The 21,588-nt window shown below is 38.9% G+C and overlaps 1 long non-coding RNA gene across 1 annotated transcript; it reads left to right on the top strand.

Moving 5' to 3' along the window:
* The first annotated feature begins 1,215 nt into the window (after window positions 1-1,215).
* Window positions 1,216-16,684, top strand: LOC107986978 (uncharacterized). Its single transcript, XR_001746100.3, has 3 exons — window positions 1,216-1,523; window positions 14,634-14,931; window positions 16,589-16,684. It is a non-coding gene; the product is annotated as an uncharacterized LOC107986978 (long non-coding RNA).
* The last annotated feature ends 4,904 nt before the right edge of the window (window positions 16,685-21,588 follow it).

Here is a 21,588-nt window from a genome sequence, read left to right as displayed (position 1 = left end):
GCATATACAGTGGTGAATATATAGATGTTCTCCACTTTCAAGAAACTTACAATCTATGAGCAAGTTACAGTCTATGGGCAAGAAGGTAATGAAACAAAAATCCCCAAACTGTAATCATTGCAATGAAGCAGAAGTAGAAAAGTATAAAGTATTCAGATATAACCTGATTAGAAGAATCTAGTTTATATGGAGCAAGGAAGAGCACGTTTGACACATGTAGAATGTGTTCTTCAAGCAATAAATAGGCGAAGGATGTTTGAGACAAAGGATAAAGCCAGATTAAGGTCGAGCATGAAGAGAAAACATAGGGTGTGTTTGAGAACTGGAAGTGGAAGGAATCTAATAAGTTGGAGGTTACAAGAAGAGAAAGTCAGAGAGATGAGGATGTCCCGAACGTGCAAGGCAGGGGCCTGGTGAGCATTTGAGACTTTATCTTGAAGATCCCGAATAAGCTCCTGCAGGATACAAGCAGTGCATAGTGTGACCGCATTTACATGTTAAGGCAATCTTTCTGATGACTTGAGGAGAATGGGTTGTTAGCAAGCAAAATTAAAATGCAAACATAGTCTGGGCACGGTGGCTCACACTTGTAATCATAGCACTTTGGGAGGCCAGGACAGGCGGATCGTTTGAGGTCAGGAGTTCGAGACCAGGCTGGCCAACATGGTGAAACCCCATCTCTACTAAAAATACAAAAAAATTATCTGGGTGTGGTGGCACTTGCCTGTAGTCCCAGTTACTAGGGAGGCTGAGGCAGGAGAATCGATTGAACCTGAGAGTTGGAGGTTGCAGTGAACCGAGATCATGCCACTGCACTCCAGCCTGGTGATACAGCGAGACTCCATCTCAAAAAAAAAAAAAAAAAAAAAGGCAAACATGATACATATTACACATATATGCAAATAGTGACAAGATACAAACACGAAAAAATTAAACTACTGTGATTTCTTTGGGGTTGAATATGGCTTTTTTATTTGATCTATTTGCATTTCCCTTCATGCCTTCTATGTAATCTGTTTTCCAAACAGGAATTCAAACAATTATCCCAAGCCAAATGAAAAATGAATGCGTGAGACCATGATCCATATTGAGTAAGTAGAACTTGGTACTGGCTGAAGCTCCTGCTGCTTTTCAGTCTGCTGTCTCTGCTGCCCCATGGCTCTGGTCCTGGCCCTGGGCTTCTCTCTTCTACACTGTACCCAATGCACAGCTTTTGTCATTGATTAAATGCCGCAGCTCGCCGGGAGCCATTTATCAATTTCATCAGCTGCTTATGGCTTTATTTACTACAAAGGAAGCAAGGTAATCCCTGTAAACTCAATAGATCTAAATTAACTGAACGTTCAGGAGCCAGCTTAGAAAGAATTATTGCTCCCTGACTCAGTGGGCCAGAGAAAAGGAATGAACACAGGAACCTGTAACAGAGGCTCTGAGAGGTTCTCTGGCATCCAGGAGGGTCGCTTCACAAAGGACACCTGCTTGACTGGGTCTCTATTAACCAGGTTTCTCTGCATAGAGTCCAGGTAAAGCTCTGTTTTGTTTTGAATCAACATTACTTGCCATGAAAAATCTGTCTTCCATTTCTTTCTCTCTCCTTCCCGCCACTCTTCTGCTTTGTCTTCCTCTGCCACCCATTCCCTTCCTTTCCATAGCACACATTCTTCTTCAGTGATATTTTTCATTATTTATGAATAATCATGATAACCTTGAATTTGTTTCTATTTGTCTAATGAAATTGTTTTCAGTCCAAATTTACTGAGCATCCACTGAATGCCAGGGAAGATATTAATATTTACGTGCCAGGAATGTTACTGGGTTCTTTCATGCCACTGGATTTTTTTTTTTAGCCTTCCCAAACAGCCCTGTAAGATATATACTAATGATGTTAGCTAAAAGATGAAAAAAAAATGAGGCTCGAAGAGGTGAAATAATTTGCCTAGCATTGGCAGAGTGTCTAGAACTTGCCCCCTCTGGGCTTTAACCTGATGGATTAATGCATGCTTCTTCTAGGTCATGGCACCATTAGTACTGGGTGGTTGGTGCTATGTGGTCAAATAGCTTCTTAAAGAATCATACCATGGCTCCTGCCTGCAAAAACACCTCATGTCCCATTCCTCTTCTCAGCCCATCTTCTCTCCCATTTCCCATTCTTGTCTTTTCCAGACTCCCACTGTCACTGCTGCACATTTTAGACCTTAACACCCCAAAGGGCTTGTAATTTTTCAAGCAAGTCATGCCTTCCTGTAGGCTATTTCTTCTGCCTGAAATGTTGTGGTCTCCTTGCTTCCCTGGAAAGTCTCTATGAAGCCTTCAAAGCCTATTTCTGTAAACTTGCTGAGAGTTTACTTAATCTCTTTCTTCCTTTCCTGCCTAGAAAGGGTTAATTGCCCCTCTGATCCCTGGTCATACTCAAATTACTGCACCTATCACTCAGTTGTGTTTATCCCCAGGTCCCCAGCACATAGCAAAAGTGACTGAATGAATGCTCAATCTCTTTGTTGAAGTGCACTGGATTCAAGCAGGAAAGAAGATTTTGTCTCTCCAATACATTGGAGAGACAAACCTTTAACACGTGCAAAGCAATTAGACAGATATATAAGTAAATAAGCTTGCATCATTACAAACTTATTATATTTTCCTAAGACAAGAGCTTAGTCTTTTCCAGAGTGTCATGACATCAGGCAAAACAGCAACAGGAGGTTATTTATCTCAAGTCCCTGTGGTTTTCCCTTCTCTCGCCTTCTGTGCATACTTTTTTTCTGGCAAGCTAAACAGCAGCAGATGGATTACATAGCACCCTTTGCATCCTCCAAAGCCTGAATTCAGTGCAAATTCCAGTCACAATGTAATTATGTGCACTTGCCATTTTCACACCATTCCCACCCCAAGCTAAAAATGTTCATGTTCCTTTTCCTCCACGGACTCACCATGACTCTCCACCAGCCTCTCAGGCTAAGATTCCCAGTGCTAATAGATGTCCTTGTACCCAGTCATCTGCGCTAATCCACAGAACCCAGTCTGCCAGGGTTTACAGGGAGGCCTCTTTCACACAGATGCTGTTGAAATTGTTCCCAGTCCAGATGTATGGACCTCCCAGGAAATTTACTTTTTGGATAGATTTTATCAACAACAGACAGTGACCCTGACATCTGTTAATCCAGGCAGGGCAACAGATAGGAATTATGACTTTTCAAAAAGAGTGGTAACTGGTGCTCAGGGCTCTTATTTACCACATCCTCCACTCTTTGATTTTTAGGATATTTTTGCTGCTCATCTCTTGACTCTTCTGCACATATGAGCCTCGTGATAAACAAGAAGGGAGGGTATATTGCTTAGCAGTGTAGTGGTGAAGATTAAGGACTATGAAGTCAGCTAGATCCGGGTTCAAATGTAAGGCCTGCTATTTTTTAAGTACTTGATTTGAGAAGTTATTTAACTTCTTGGTCTCAGTTTTCCTAATCTGTAGGAAAAACTGAGCGTCTTCTTCATTGAGCTCCATTGATGATTACATGAGCTAAAGAACTTAAAACACTTAAAGCTTCCTGCATGAAGTAAAACCTCAATAAATAAAACAACTCAGGGTGTTTTTGTAAACATGCATTGAACTAAGGACCACAAAGCCTGGTAGATGGTGAGTGCTCAGTAACAGTTAATTCATTTTCCTGATTGCCCTGTGATCCCCAGTGATGAACCACGAGAGTGACTTTTGCAATAAGCCTCTTCTAGGCAATTTAGCAATAGGCATCTGGAGCTAAAAGCATTTCTAGTTTGCAACCCAGGAATAACACTGGAAGAAATCTAGTCTAAAGAAATAGCCCCCAAAATAGTACATGCTATGTCCTGAAGGTGTTACTTATAAACAAGAGCAAAAACTCTGGGAGGAACATAATGTCCAACAGAAAGAGAACAATTTATTAAAACAATTGAGCATCTATGCAGGGGAATATTAGGTAGGCATTAGAAACGATCTTTCAGTGGTGCTACAGCAACATGAAAAAGTTAGCATGTTGTGTTCCCAAAGTGAGATGGAAAATTGCGTACAGTATGACTGTAAGAGCATACAATTAATTTAGGCAGTTGGATAAGCCAATAAATGAATCTACAAGAATGAAAAGCATCCCTTTGGGGTGAGGAGATGGAGGGTGATTCAAGATCTGTTTTCTTGTTTTTCTCTTCTGCTTTTCCTTCTCTTTACCTTGGAGAAACGAAAACAAAATGAACACCTTCTGCTACTCAAGTGTTGACATGCGCTTTAGCCAAAGCAATTGATCCCACACCACCTCTCCTGTAGGAAGATGGGGCCTGAGTGCCCCATAATGATGACAGTAATGGAACTTTCCCAGTTGTAATAACACCTTTTGGAGACAAACCCTCCTTCCTTAAACATCCTCTAAAGATGATGATCCTTCCTCATTTCACTCACTCTCTCCTTTAGCCTGTCTTTGTCATCAGAGTAATCGTTCTAAAACACACGCCTGATCACTTCACTCCAGTCACAAAATGCTTGGCCGGTGTCATATTCTTCTTCTGATAAAGTCTGAAGGCTCTGGCGGCCCTCAGCGCCCAGTCACTTCCACCTTGCTCCAGTCCTCAGCCACGTCTCACTCTCCCCTGCAGGCTTTGCCATGCCTTTCTTTCTGCTGGGAATTCTCTTCCCCAGCTCTCTGTTTTTAGGTCTCAAGATTTAGGTCTCATCTTAGAAGTCAATTCCATTAGAGAGCTTTCCCTAACATCTCAGCATGCCTTCTGTGGTCCCAGCACAAGTACACATGCATGGAAATGCACACACACACACACACACACACACACACAACACACACGTTTTCTTCTTAAATGTTTCTGCTACTACTTTTTCATGGCACCTCATATACATATGGCAATTATCTGGGTTGTGGAGTAGTATTTTCTGAAACATAAAGTTTTTTTAATCTTTGGTACTTTCTTGAACTGACTTCCTACCTATTGATGCAGAGCCTTCAATATCTTCAAGGAAGGTTAGGATTGTTTGCATGGCCAAGAGAAAATAGCCATGATCATGGGCTCCTATGTGGGCAGCGGCTATGGCGGGGTGGGGTCAGACATGGAAACTGGTACAGTAGCCTGCAGATGTTGGAGCAAATTGTCCTATTGCAAGGCAGCTTGCTAGTTTTCTATTACTGCCATAACAAATTATCATAAATGCAGTGTCTAAAACAACATCCACTGATGATTTCACAGTTCTTTAGAGGTCTGGATACAGCATGGCCCAGCTAAGACTTCTGCTTAGGGTCTCAAAAGGTGAAAATCAACATGTCACCAGGGCTGTTTCCCTTCCTGGAGGCTCTGATGATCAATCTACTTCCAATCTTATTCAGGTTATTGGCCCAATTCAGTTCCTTGTGGTTTCAGGACTGAGGTCCTATTTCCTTGCTGGCTGCCAGCCAAGGCCAGTCTTTGCTCCTAGAAGTTGCCTGCATCCCTTCTCATACCTTCCACATGCCCCCCTCCAGCAATGGGGGTTGAGTCCTTCTCAGGCTTTGAATTTCTCTGATTTCTTATGTATCTCTTTTATTACAGCTGGAAAAAATTCTCTGCATTTAGGTACTCATGTGATTAGATTGAGTTTCCCAAAATAATCCAGAATAATTTTATGCTGTGTGGTGCATAACCTTGATTACAACTGCAAAGTCCCTTTGTCATGTATTGTGACATATTCACAGGATTCAGGGATTAGGGCATGGACATATTCAGGGAGGCATTCTGTCTACCACAGGTAGCAAAGCCTAGAGGATGTTGTATGACTCCTTTCCTAAACAACCACAAGGTCATATGACCACACACTTCATACAACCAAATTTCCTCTAAGCTGCAAGCAAAGCCTGGATGGAGTCTATAAGCCTAAGAATTAGCTTAACCAAACAGGCAGAGACTGAGTGGGCTAAACAGGATGTTTAAATATCTCCTTTGGGCTCAGCCTTGATTTGCCACATAATTATGCAAACATTTTTTACTCCTCCATGCTGGCTTATGAGAAAGAAACAAAAATATTAGTTAAAAGAAATGTATCAGCTAAAATTGATTGGCATTAAATCAAGTCTTACTCTACTAGGCTTATAATAGTTTTTAAAGAATATATGGAATTATTTCTAAAATAGGCACATAGAAAATGCCCAGCTATTTAGCTAGCATTTTACCTTCTAAGCAAATGTCATGGCAGAAATGTTCACCATGACCTAGAGAAGAGAGAAGGCTATGAATACATTTATTCTAGAATATGAGAAGAAAATTCCAATGGAAACTCTAGAAAATATAAAAAGGCAAGCCAGGAATATCATCCAGGGACAACAATGATGAGAGCTCTGTCAGATTCAAGAACTTTTACTCCCACTCCTAAAGGGATAGGAAGCATGCCTGTGGTTTCTTCCTGTTGATCTTGTATTTTTACACATATGGATTATTACAGAGAGCCTTTCATCAAAAGTAACCTCTTCCCTTGGTTTTGAAAATAGCAGCAGATAGAGAAGGAAGTAGGAAACTTGGGGAAATGTCACATTCCAAAGCCAATGTGAGCAGGAGATACACTCCATGCGTAGAGAGGGTTCCAGCAGTCAAGAGAGTAGAGCAGGCATAGTCTCTAGGTCAGAGAAGTTCTATGAGACCATCAGAGGCTGGGGGAAGGAAAGGAGGCTAGGACCAGGGGAAAGGGTACTGGAGTATCTGGATGGAATCCTTATCTGACCACTGTCTGACATAAAAACCGAGGATGCATCATTTTCCCATGTGTAAAATAAAGACATTCATTTGTGTATTCATTTATTCCTTCACTCACTGATTCATTCCTACCCTATCATAATTCTAAGTGTTTCATCTTATCTAGCAGGGACTGGAGCAAGCCCATGAAAGGCTCTGGACTAGCAGTGGTCTATGGATCCAAGTGAAGCGTAAGACAGGGTACAAAGGGTCAACCCAGAAAAGTACAATCTCTAAGGCCGTGAACAAGAAAAAGACAAACATTATTTGTGAAAGTTATTCATTGCAGTTTCCTGCCTTTTGTGGTTTCAGTTGAGCATTTTATATGATTCCAATTTTCTCTCATTTCTTAGCATATCAGTTATACTTTTCTTCACTTGTTTTAGTGGTTGCCTTAGAGTCTGTGATATACATTTATGACTAATCCAAGTTCACTTTCTAATAGCCCTATACCTCTTTATGGAAAGTGTGAGTACCTTATAATAACAAAGTAATCCTAATTATTTCCTCCCGTCCATGGACCATTGCTGTCATTCATTTAACTTATATCTAAGCATATATACATGTCTATATATGTTTGTATATATGTACATATTTGAATAAATTATTACACTTACTATTTTGAACAAATTATTTTCTGTTAGACCAATTAAGAATAAAAACAATTACAGTTTTTATTTTACCTTCACTTATGCTTTTTTTGATGCTTTTCTTTCTTTATCTAGATCCAAGTTTGTAATCTATATTATTTTCCTTTTCTCTAAATAAATTTTTTTCTTGAAAAGCAGTTCCACTGGAAAGAAATGTCTTCAATTTTCATCTTAGAAACTCTATTTCTCTTTCACTTTTGAAGCATCAATTCACAGGGTACATAATTCGTGGTTGGTGGCTTTTGTCTCTTAACACTTCCAATATTCCACTCCATCCTCTTCTTGCTTGCATAGTTTCTGAGAAGCCACATGTAATTCTTATCCTTGTTCCTCTCTAAGTACAGTGTTTTTTCTCTGGCTCCTTTCTGGACTTTATCTTTGATTTTTCTGTGTTTTCAAAATATGTCTATAAATAATATGTAGGGGTTTTGTTTTGTTTTTTTGACATTTATCCTGCTTGGTGCTGTCTGAGCTTCCAGAATCTGTGGTTTGGTGTCTGACACCTATTTGAGGATAATTCTGAATCATCAACTTTTCAAATAATTTTTGTTTCTTCTTGTCTTTCTTTTCCTTCTGGCATGTCTATTACTCATATGCTACTTTTTTGTAATTGTCTCGCATTCCTTAGATATTTTCTTCTTTTGCTTTTGTTATTTCAGTCTTTGTTCTCTGCTTCTTCATTTTGGAGGTTTCTATTGAGGCATTTTCAAGCTCAGAGATTCTTTCCTCGGCTATGTCCAGTTGATTAATTAACCAATCAAAGACATCTTTCATTTTTGCAGGAGTATTTTTGATCCTTAGCATTTCTTTTGCTTCTGTCTTAGGAGTTTCATCTCTCTGTTAACATTGTTCACTTGTTCTTGCATGCTGTCTGCTTTATCAATCAGAGCCCTCTGCATATTATGCATCACTGTTTTAAGCTTACTATCTCTCTTCAAATTGTGCTTTTACCTTTTAGTATGCCTTGTAATTCGTTCCTTATACCTGGAAATGTTGTACTGGGTAGAAGGAATTGCTGTAAGTAGGTCTTTAGTAAAGTAGTGGTAAAGTATGGGGGAAAGGGAAGTGTATAATCCCTATGATAAGGTCTCAGACTATTAGTGAGCTTATACCTCTAGACTGTGAGCTTCACAATACTATTCACTTATGTTCTCCTCCGCAGGAGGGATAAGATGGCTACAGTGGGTTAGAGTTGGGTATTTCTCTTCTCCCAGGTCAGGGTAGTCTCTAGTTAGTTTCTCCTAAGGGCAGGCTTTGTTAAAAACAGAGTGCACTGGCATGTTTCCAAATGGTTCCTTTTCCTCTCCCCCTGCTGGAAGCACAAACAAATTTTTCTCTGATGTTTACTGTGAGAACCTAAGAAAGTTCCTGGATGTAAAACTCACAAAGGTGTGGAATCCCTCTGTGACTGAGCCCTCCTGGAGATTTTAACACTTAGACTTGTCCACACTGAGCGTCTGGCAATTCATCAATTATAGTCCAGGTCTTCCTACCCCAGCACTGATTCCTGCAGAGGTTTCTGCTCACGAGTCTCTGCTCCAGTAAGTGGTGACTCCCTGTATCCACCAGTCTGTTCCTCCAATCTTGGGGGCAGTGGTTTTCCCTGTATCCTCACCTCTCTTACAGATCTGAGAAGAGTTGTTGAATTTTCAGTCTGTTAAACTTTTTACTCATTGTTAAAATGGATTGGCCATTTCCAAACTCTTTACATATGAAACCAGAAAACAGAAGTCTCCCTTTGAGGTTTTATATCTATATATCATTTAATCCTCATAGGCTCCCAAGTAGAAATATTTAGATTAATTTTCAGGTAAAAAAAAAAAAAAAAACTGAGGCTTAGAGAGGTGAGGAAGCTTTAAGTCATCAAGGTGGAGGTACTGAAGCTGGGATGAAACCCAGGTTGTAGGTCTCCAAGATTAAGGCACTTTACAATACATCATATCCTAATTTACTAGCCAACTGGACAAATGCTCCTCCTTCTTTTTTTCCTTTCACTTTTTTAAAATTCTATATTAGTACATGGCTTTGGTTATAAACTACCTTAAGTCCTTTCATAAAAAGATAACCTAATAAATAAATATAGTTGCTGCAAGTTGTTCCTGCCTTCAAGGAAATATAAAACGTGTTGTTTTCAAGACCACTGTACTCAGAATATCTAATTTTATTCTCATGACAATCTTTGAATGTGGGTAAGGAAATTGCTCAAGTCACTCAGACCCTGAATAGATCACTGTGAATTTAGAACGAATGGGCCAAAGGTTAATTACAGTCTAAGTGATGCTAGGTATAGAGATTGATTTATCATATTGTAGTTTAAGGGTGTTTTAAATTTAAAATCACATGTCCAATAACTCTCTATGGATAGGTGTATCTCCCCAAGCAAGTTGTGGGATTCCAGAAACTTAGGGAGACCCTCCTTCATTGTGGTTACCTTGGTGGCTAGAATAGTCTCTGGCTTGCTGTGGGTATGCAATGAAACATGGGATAAACATAAATGAATGAAATCAGCCATTCTCAATTATTTTAGAAAATCACCAAACCTTAGAGTAAGACATGCTTACTAATTCATTGATTCTCAAATTTAAGATCTCTTGTGGATCCCTAAGAGAAATATAACAATAAAATTTAAACTTTCACAGTTAAGGTTTGCACTTGAGGTAGTTAATACAAATGCAAATGCTGGGACGGAATTATAGGAAGAAGTTGGTCATTAGTCATGGAGATAACTGAGCTATCACTTTTAACTTTCCATATGCTTCTAAATAAAAACAAAAAATTTAAAATTTCTCACAAAATATTCAATGACCCCAAGAATATGTCTCCCAATCCCAGTAGATCTGTGGACCCCGAGTGTGTGAGAAACACTTGGGTAGCCTAGTTCCCTTGACTTAAAAAGAAACAGACCCTATTTTTCTAAAGTTTCAATATCTCTATTTATGCACTTTTATTGTGACAGCAAACATGAGGTTACTGTAAAAATAAATAACTTTTTCAATGTCACACAGTTATTTAGTAGCAGAGCAAATTCTAGAACACAGGTGTTGTAACTCCAAGTACAGTGTTCTTTTCTAACAAATTGCATGCCCAGCTATTCATCCAACAGTTGCTTAATGAGGTGTTTTCTGTAACATTAAAGAAAATGGTAAAAATAATATGTTTGGGGAGCAAACCAAGAGACACAGGCTCTCTATCACTAGCACTTAATTGGCTGGGCCTGGGTCCCCGGTACCGACATGGTCACTTGCAAATCCAGACACAGAGGACAGGGACTAAGTGGTTTTCCTAGCCAGGCAGTGTGGAATCGTTGGCTGAAACTCATTATATGTTTCAAGTGCAGAAAACTGCGAAGTTTCAGTTCCCTTGAGGCACCGTGGTTTTTCTCTATTTGTAAGTAAAAAATGAAAAGTAAGCAAAATTAGTACATTTATTTTATATTCAATACATTTAGAATCATTATGTTGATCGGGGGTTGAAATACACTTTAGTCTCCATTTTTATTGCATTTTCAGGATTTGAATGATGCATAATGACATGGATTCAGACTAAGAAAAACAAAATCTAGGGCAGAGATTAATTGGACAAATGTTTTGCTGTTTGATAGAAAAGGCAGATAATTTGATTTCCAAGTTTCAGTAAGACACAACAACGAAGGAAAAATGGAAAATCCCAGCATGTGTTTTCTTCTTGTATTTTTATACAGCATACAGCTAAAAGCAGTACCTTATCAAAGTCAGCATATATTTTTGCATTAGGTGTAAGAATAGAAAATTGTTTGCACCTTAAAATATTAAATGGAAATGGAAAAGTACCAGAATACCCACCCCCACCCCCTCCTTGTTTTTTTTTCTTTCTTTTTTTTTTTTTTAATTTTCAGTGTTCAGATGTTGTGTTGTTTACAGACTTCATGTGTTTCCTGCTTTGCTGAAGAATGCCAGGCTGTACTCTGATGTCAAAGACCCAGAAATGGAAGCCAGAAATGTGGCTTCTCAGGCCGGCCCTGCCAAGCTGGATTACCTTGGGCACATCAAGAGGGACAAGATGATCTCTCAAGCCACTTCCAGTCATCCATCCACCCATCTTTGTATCCATGTATTTCTCTGCAAAGTTTTATTCAGCACTTACCCATGCCAAGCACAATATTAAAGGCTGGAGAAACAAAACTAAATATTCATGTTCCTGCTTCACCTTCTAGAAACTTACCAACTAGATGAGGCACAGATATGTAAACAGACAACTACAATATAGTGTGACCAGCATAAACCCACAATCGATTGCTGAGGTGTCACCTGGAGCTCTGAAGTCAGAATATATCAAATCCCGGGCATGCACTTACTAGCCTCTGAGACCTTAGACAAGTTAGTTAACTTCTCTGAGCCTCAATATTCCTTATCTGTAAAATGTTGGTGACCACCCTACATGCCTTAGGACTTGTGGGGATTTGGATGAGATAATACAGGTAAAGAGTTTATCCCAGCTCCTAAAAATAAATAGTTATTACTTGTCCTATTTTATTATTGTTACTATTCTTTTTAAAAAATTGTATGTTCTTAATTTTTGTGGGTACAGAGTAGGTATATATGTCTGTGAAAAACATAAGATATTTTGGGGCTTTTTGTTTATTCTTTAATTTTGTATTATTTTTGTAGGTACCCAGTACATACATACATACATATATATATATATATATATATATATATATATATATATATATATATATATATATATATATGTATATATATATGCACACACACACACACACACACACACATATATACACACATACATATATATATATATATATATGGGGTACATGAGATATTTTGATACAGGAATATATGTTATACGTAATAATCACATCAGGGTAAATGAGGTATCCATCACATCAAGCATTTATCCTTTGCATTACAAACAATCCAGTTATACTCTTTTAGTTATTTTTAGGTGTACAATTAAATTATTATTGAATATGATTGCCCTGTGGTACAATCAAATACTAGATACTAGATATTATACATTCTGTTTTTTTTGTAACCAGTAAACACCCCTACTTCCCTCCCACTACCCTTCCCAGCCTCAGGTAATCATCATTCTACTCTATTTTTCCATGAGTTCAATTGTTTTCATTTTTAACTTCCACAAATAAGGGAGAGCATGTGAAGCTGTTCTTTCTGTCCAAGCCAGGACAGAAAATAAGACAATTTTACTTAACATAGTGACTTCCAGTTCCATCCATGTTATTGCAAAGGACAGAATCTCATTATTTTTAATGGCTGCATAGTGCTCCATTGTATATATGCACCACGTTTTCTTTATCCATTCGTATGTTGATGGACACTTAGTTTGCTTCCAAATCTTGGCTATTGTGACTAGTGCTGCAGAGATCTGAGAATGCAGACATCTCTTTGATATGCTGATTTCCTTTCTTTTGGGTAGATACCCAGCAGTGGAACTGTTAGATCATATGGTAGCTCTATTTTCAGTTGAGGAACCTACAAACTGTTCTCCATAGTGTTGTACTAATTACATTCTCAATAACAGTGTAAGAGAGTTCCCTTTTCTCCACATCCTCATCAGCATTTATTTATTGCCTGTCTTTTGGATAAAAGCTCTTTTAACTGGAGTGAGACAATGTCACATCGTATGTTTGATTTTGCATTTCTATGATGATCAGTGATGTTGAGCACCTTTTCATATACCTGTTTGCCATTTTATAGCTTCTTTTGAGAAATGTATCTTCAGGTATTATGCCCATTTTTAATTGGATTACATTTTTTCCTATAGAGTTGTTTGAGCTCCTTATATATTCTGGTTATTTATCTTTTGTCAGATGGGTAGTTTGCAAATATGTTTTCCCATTCTGCCAGTTGTCTCTTCACTTTGTTGATTGTTTCCTTTGCTTTGCAGAAGCTTTTCAATTTGTAATCCCATTTGTCCATTTTTACTTTGGCTGCTTGTATTTGTGGGGCATTATTCAAGAAATCTTCGCCAAGTCCAATGTCCTGGAGAGTTTTTCCAATGTTTTCTCTTAGTGGTTTTATAGTTTGAGGTATTAGATTTAAGTATTTAACCCATTTTGATTTTATTTTTTATATGGTGTGAGATAAGAATTTAGTTTCACTCTTCAGCATAAAGATATCCAGTTTTCCCATTACCATTTATTGAAGAGACTGCCCTTTCTCTAATGTATGTTCTTCACACCTTTGCTGGAAATGAGTTTACTTAGATGTATGGAGTTGTTTCTAGGTTCTCTATTTGGTTCCATTGGTCTCTGTGTCTGTTTTTATCCCAGTCCTATGCTGTTTTAGTTATTATAGCTCTGTAGTATAATTTTGTTAATACTATTCTTATTCTTCTTATTAACTAGTAGTAATGATAGAAGAAAAAATAGGAATTCCTCTGAGGTAGCTTAGAAAAATCAGCCCCTGAATATGCCTGAAAACATCAAAGGGACTTAACAGAGGAGATGAATTCACAGGCATTAAGGGGTTTTGCAGGTAGTCAGGGCAGAAGAAAATAACACAAGAAGACAGAAGGCACAAGTTATACGTGACTTGAATAATTTATGTTATAACAGATACTGCAACTAAAGGCTAGAGGGGTTTTTGTTTGGTGTTTATTTGTTGTCTAAGATCGCCCAGAGAGTTAGTCTGAGACTTAGAAAGACTAGCAATTCCTTCTGTGTTACTGGAACACAAAGTGAGAACAAAAGTGGTGAGGGATAAAGTGCACACACAGTGACAGGCAAGCTCTTAGGGGATCTTGCTGTTCACAGTAAAGATTTAGGTCTGTAGATATTTTGGAAACACTACATTTTCAGCAGTAGAGTCACTTATTCTGGATTCTGGACCTCTTTGCCCTCCTAGAATCACCTGCTATGATGTAAATGTCTAGTAGACAACTGCTTTTCAGGCCAAAGAATGTGACTCTAGCAGTGGCCAAAAGGTGAGAAATGGTTCTTGTTCTATGGTTATGAAGGCCCAACTGTAAGGCTTTTTCCTAAGTGAACCTATGAATTCCTAAAACTTAGGAAATGAAACTGGAATCAGGGTTCAGTCAGAGAAGCAGAACCCAAAGATATGTGTATGATGATTAGACAGATAGATAGATAGATAGATGATAGATAGATAGATAGATAGATAGATAGATAGATAGATAATAGATAGATAGATAATAGATAGATAGACAGATGGATTTACTGTAAAAATTTGACATTATGTTCTGGTAATGCTGTTGTTTTGGCATCTAATTTTGAAGGCTGAGTTGCACAGAGTAGGCAGTCCCTTCAGGAAGAGAAGGTGTTTGTAAACTGGGCCAGAGCAAGGACATGCGGGACCCCCGCAGAGTGAACTGACAGATCTTGATGTTGTGAGTATCTGGAAGAGAGGTGGACACCCTCCCTCGGGGAGCTAAAGGCACACCTGGCCCAGGGGTTGGAGAAGCTGAAGGAGCCAGCAGGAGGAGATGGAGCAGCAGAAGGAGGTGGAGCAGCAGGAGGAGGTGGAGTAGTCACAGTCCCACACCGCTGCCCCATGCCATGAAGGTGAGCCAGCAGGTAAGTGACTACCTGTGTGAGCTGCTGCTTCATTTCCACCCTCCAACAGGTTTACCAACAGTTCCTGTTTGCCTGAGACTGACCTGGTTTTAGCACTGATAGTCACATGTCCAGGGAAATCCTTTTGTCCAGGAAAACTGAGATGAATGATCACCTTACCTCCAAATCTCACACAAGAATCTCTCTTGTGGCTCTTACCTGAAACATACAGCAAAGAGGATTCTGGACCATGCAGTTCCTCCTGGCCCAGTTGACACATTACTAAAGGACTATAGAAGCTAACTAATGGATGGATTTTTTTATCTCTCTAATATTTATTGAAATCACAACAAAAAGTATTTTTTTACATACAAAATAATATATAGCTGAGAATATACATGAAAAATAAAGATTTGTAAAATAGGAGTAGCCATGAATTTTATCCCTTACTCTGTTTTCCATTGCTATGTAACCCAATCCTTGGCTGCTTTTCTACTTTCAAGGATTATTTATAACTTCCTCTAACTTCCTGTGCTTTTAGATTGAAGAGCCCTGGGTCCCAAGACAGTTGATAGTCGCTGACAGATATGAGCAGCTTGGGAGCTAAAGTCCTTGTGGACATTCTTCCTGCTGTTGTTTTAACTGAGCCTGGTTGATGAAAGCTTTGCCTCATGTAGACACCTCAGTCCATCACGGATGCATTCAAATGAATGGATCAAGCTCTACCATTTGTCATGTGCTTCTAATTCACATTGTCCATTCACCTTAATTGGGTGGGGTAGGGGGTGTGATTTTTGAGGTCAAAGCATATATAATTGAAGCAAGGCAGTCTTACATCTCCTGTAAATCACCACTACTTATTCTTAGCAGGAAGCAGTTGCTGTGCTCAACAGAGGGGATGGAGAAATGCTTAATGCCACAACTACTAAAAAGGTATAGTCAGGGTTAAGGAAAGCCAGCAAAGAATGATGAAACATTCTGGACTAGTGACAACAGGTACAGGAGTGGTATCTCATTAGGCCTAAAAGGGAAGCAGTGAAAAAATAGTTATTGGACTTAGAAAGAGAGCTATAGCTGACCTATAGCTCTAGGGAAGGACCCATAGGAGTGGTAGCCTTAAGCAAGAACACCCCACTACCAACTACAGCCCAGGGGAATAAAGACCTCAGATTCTATCCCCTCACCCTTACCATCTCCTGCTGGTACTCCCATTGGCTAAATCCGACCTCAGCAGGAGGGTAAGGGAGTGAGGTTGAAGCCATCCTTTGGGGTCAGCTTCCCAGAGCACACAGCAGGGTAAGAAAGTGAGGGAAGCTAAAGATCATCCAGTGCCCACTTCTTCCTTTGTGTTCAAAATAACTTCTCCTAATTTCCAATAAGCAAAGAATTATCCTAGCAACTAAGTTACTATCACCATTGATTAAGTCTTCCAAATCTTTCGTAATCCACTTGCCATAATCATATCTTTGCAAAGCCCTATAATTTCATTATGCAGATCAATATGCCCTTAAGAAATTTATAGCCTTATTTTCTTTGAATATTTTTTCAACAAATAAAAAGAAGCCATTGGTCCTCATATCTGAATTCAGAATCTATGCTTGGGGACAATATAGCAAATGAAATCATGTAAAAAGACATTACCAATAATTGTCCTAATTAAGACTCTTGAACCTAACAGAGGCTGATGGGGCAGCACAGTGAAGATGGCACCTGTCAAGTCAAGAGATGGAAAAGCTGTAACTGAACCCTGAAAGTCGCTTAACCTGGGACCTTGGTAAAGTCATTTTACCTCTCTCCATCTTGATTTCCTCACCTGCTCATAGAAATAATTATAATGATTTCACAAGTTTTTCTGAATTACAAATAGAAAATGGATACTAATGCTCTGTAGCAATTGCAAAGCCTATATAAAAATTCATTGATTGTTCATGAGTATTTAACTTTTTGAAAATGAATGGCAGGTGCTAGGAAGTCTTAAATTTGTATGCACAATATGCTTTGGGGTGGAATAAAGTGATTACAAACATTGCCTTGCAATACTTCTTTAAAAATCATAAGGAACATGCATCATTACCTCTGTTTTTTAAAAAAAAATTAAGTTTTGTCTTTACCTTTATAAATGCTTTATTATTTTTGTACAGTTCTCTGAAGAGTTCTGGGCAGTAGGCAGACAACATCACACTTTTTTTTTTCTACTTGATGAGTGAGAAAACCTAAGGGGTAAGTTGTTAATAGAAGAACTCAGAACTGAGTGAAGACACCACAGGTCCTGGCTAAATCCATGATATGACATTCATCCTGAAAGATTGGTGTGAAACTGGTCTACTGGAGAAACAAATACCACCTTCACATCTTCCAAGTTAAAGACCCGGTTCAATCCCTAACTCCGTCCTCTATCAGATTTATAAATTGGACTATAGTGATCCCCATCCAACTGGGTTACTATGATCTTTTTAATGAAATTGTAGATGTGGACACAGGTAGCACAGTTCCTGCCATGCTCAAGGGAACTCAAGTGATGCTCCCTAAATACCATCTGAGTCTGAACTTCTATTTTCACCTAAATATTCTAGAAGTATTTCTCAAAAACCTTAGACTGAGGCACCTTGACCATGGCCTACATTTTATTTTATACTTATTTACAAAGATCTTCTTAGCCTTAGCCCTCCTGTTCATGCTGTTCCACAAGCACAGTCTTCATTCACTCAAAATTGCATTCATTCTACAAACATTGAATAATAAAGCTACCATTTATTTATTGCTCTCTATGTGCCAGGCACTGCGAAATGTTCTATGATGATTGTCACATTTAATTCACAAAAGCCTGATGTGCCTATTATTATTCCCATTTTTTAAAGGTGTGAATTGAACTTTGGAGGCATGAGGTAAATCTATTCAGTCACTCAAGCACTGATGCACTGGTTTGAGAACCGTGCCGTTCCGGTGAGCAGGATCTGCCTTCATGGAGCTCACATTTCAGCAATTTATTTCCTTGCCCAAAGCCATACACCTAGAAAGTGGTAGAACTGAGATTAAATTTCATTATCCCTGGTTTCAAATCCTGCATGCATAACCCCTGTGCTGCTCTGGTTGATTGTTCTTCAGTGACTTCTGCCCTTAGAGACCACACATATATTCGGCCAGGAAGGACAAACATCCAGAGCAGCATTTGCAAGTTACCGTCATGCTGGATGGCTGGAGGAATCAAAACGGTCACTTTTCCAAACATTAATATTTTATATAATCTGTAAAGAGGATTTGTATTTACTGACCTACTTTTGCAGTTTTTTTCCTGAATTCAGTGTGAGAGAGGAGAGTGTAGCTGTATAGTTTAGCTTGTTTCATTTGTTTGTTTGTTTGCTCGTAAATTCTCCCTCTCGACTCAGTCACTGGGAGGCAGCATGATGTTGCTAAAAGAATGTCATCTTGGGCTTCAAAAGCCTGTGTTAATACCAGCTGTGATGAGGAGGAGGAGAAGGATGGTGATCATAATGATGACAATGATGATGATGACAATGCCTACCATTCCTGTCTGTGTTGTCTCCTCAAAGAGACTTTCTGGAACCAACATATCCAGATAACATACCTATTATTCCAACTCTTCTTTTTCCAATTTCTTTATCTTTTATCAGAGTACCTGACATCATATTATACATGCATTTGCTTTTTTAATGGATAGTCTGTCTTCTACTAGAATATAAGCTACATGGAGGTAAAGACTTTGTCTGTTTTATTCTTTTTTTCTGCCATCAGCACATAGACTAGCATCTGGCACTCAACAAATTATCAATAACTATTTTTTGAGAATTCACCATCTGCCAGGCACTGTGCTAAGCATTGTAAGTGTCTCATGAAGTATAAAAACCTGTAACAAAGTTACTTGTTCTTATATCATTTTAAAAATTAAGATACTAAAGCACAGGGAATTTAAGAAACCAGCTCAAGGACACACAGCTCAAAAATGAGTAAGGACAGGATTCAATCCCAAACTTTTAACTCTACTGCCATGGACTGATCAATATGGCTCTGGGCAAGTCACATCACCTCTATGAGACTCAGTGTTGTCATCTTTAAAATGGAGAGGTTGATTGTGACTATTTCTAACCTGCTGAGCTGCTCTGACCTAGCTGAATTTCATTTACTTCCAGCAAATCTCAGTAATCGTCAGAATATCTATAGGTTGTATTTTCAATAGAAGGCTTCAGGAACACTATGAGGTAAAAGGTCACCCTTGAAGGGGACACAGAGACCATCCAAAATAAGAGGAAAACAGATTTTCATTCCAGAAGTATAAGCTAATTGCAAGACCATAGCTACCTGTGGCAGAGGTTGCAAAGTGTGAAGCTTGGGGAGATTTCTAGTGACAGCCTCCCACAAGATTGCTGGGTATTTGTGTAGTTATGCATTTCTGCATAACAGATCACCCCAAAACATAGTGACTTAAAACAACTCAATATGTATATAGCAATTCTGTGGGTTGACTTAGAAGTTCTTCTGCTGATTTTGTTTACCAAGTGGTTGGGCTTACTCAAGTGGCTACAGTCAGTGGAGTTTAGCAGAAGCTGGAATATTCAAATTGGCTTCACTCACATGTCTGACATTTGGTGCTGGCTGTCAGCTGGGACATCTTGGTTCTCCTTCCTGGGCTTCTCATCTGCCAGTAGGTGATCCAGTTTTCTTACATGGCAATCTCAGAGAAAGCCCCAATGCAGACACATTTATAAAGCCTCTGCTTGTGTCAAATTTGCTGATGTCCCGTTGGCCAGAAGAAGTCAAAGGCCAAGTGCAAAGCTCATGCAGGAGGAGGCTTACACTGCTCTTGATGGAAGGAAGGAGTGGCAAAGAACTCGTAAAAATCTTTAACCTACCACAATATTGAAACAGACAAAATTACCCAATCTGACAGTGCTCAACAAAGACTAACAGGCAAAACTACTCCCCTCCAATCATCTCAGTTGATAGTAACTCCCCCTACCTCAACTGCTACCACCTTGGTTTATGCCACCATCACCTTCTTCTTGGAGCTCAATTCCTCTGGGAACCCTCTGAGAACTGTGGAGTCCACTTCAGAATTGTCCCACCAAATGATGGGTTGGTTGAGAAATCTATCTGTTGGCTCTCATCACTCAATGACTGAGGAGTTCCCCTCACACTCCCTGACATTTTCATGGTATGCTTGTACTTGGTTGAGCAGGCTCCCATGAGGTCAAAAGTGCCTTAAAGCCAAGAACGAGAGAGATCCAGTTTCCCAGGGCTGTCCTATCAAAGCACCGAAAACTTGGGGGCTTAAAACAACAGAAATATATTACATGACAGCTCTGGGGGCTAGAATTCCAAAATCAAGGTCTTCACAGATGAATGCCCCTTCTAAATCCCATGCGGAATAATCCTCCCTTGCCTCTTCCAGCTTCTGACATCTACTGGTAATCCCTGGTGTTCCTTGGCTTGTACATGCATCATCACTCCAAGGTCTGCCTTCATCACTGCCTATCCATCTCTTCCTTTGTGTATCTCTCCTCTTTCTATAAGGGTATCAGTCGTATTAAATTAGAGACCCACCCTGCTCCAATATTACCTCATCTTAACTAATTACATCTGCAATAACCCTATTTCCAAATAAAGTCACCTTCTGAGGTACTGGAGGTTAGAAGTTCAGTACATCTTCTTGGAGAACACAATTCAACCCATAACAGATGGGAAGCCATAAGCATGTTGAAAACTATCTAACATGGCCAAAGCTTAACTCAGAGGTAACCACATGGTATATAGGGCAATATATATATATATATATATATATATATATATATATATATATATATGAGATTTTATATATATATATAGGAGATTTTATATATATATGGGAGATTATATATATATAGGAGATTTTATATATATATATACACAAATATATATAGGAGATTTTATATATATATATACACAAATATATATATAGGAGATTTTATATATATGTCTCCTTTGCTATAGATTTTTTACCTAGAATGATAAATTTAAGGATTGCTTGAAATTGCATGAAGGATGGGGAAGGGACCCACAGCCAGTTCTAGAAGAATGTGAGCCACTGTCAAGTTCAAGGCAAGAAAAAGTGAACATATTTAGCCTGAGAACTCACTTGTATTGGGATTTGCTGTCTGATAGAAGGTCAAGTCAGCAGATTTAAAGGTGGAGACCTACCATTTCTAAGAAACTTAGTCATCTCAGACAATGAACCTCCGGGGTAGAGGACTGCCATGTCTTAATCTGCATATCACTGTGGAGGGTAATCAGCTTTTAGAGGGAGTTCCAGCACACAAATGAGGCAGGTCAGAAGGAGACATTTAAGCATCACTGTAATTAATCACTTTGGATGGAAAGCTGGTGACCCAAATGTGGGTGTCTATGTCTTAACTCCCATATGCAATAGCTACATTAGAAGAACTTTTCAACCCTTGGAAACTCTCTTCCCAAGAGGGTCCCATTGCAGAGCAGATGTTTGCAAATCATTTAGCCTGCCGGTGATGAATTAGTTTTTAATGGCATTCTTGTGTACTTGTTATAAATCATTAAGCATCCAACAGACTGTCTCCTATCTTCACAGGCCTGGTCGGGTTGGGTTCCTAAGCAGCAAAATATACAGTGATGGGAACGAAGTTGCTGTACCCAGTTGAAAATCCTTCACTC

The sequence above is a fragment of the Homo sapiens genome, chromosome 8 (assembly GCF_000001405.40).
Source record: "Homo sapiens chromosome 8, GRCh38.p14 Primary Assembly".
NCBI lineage: Eukaryota > Metazoa > Chordata > Mammalia > Primates > Hominidae > Homo > Homo sapiens.
Note: the sequence above shows the minus strand (reverse complement) of the source record. Positions and strands in the feature narration are given on the sequence as shown.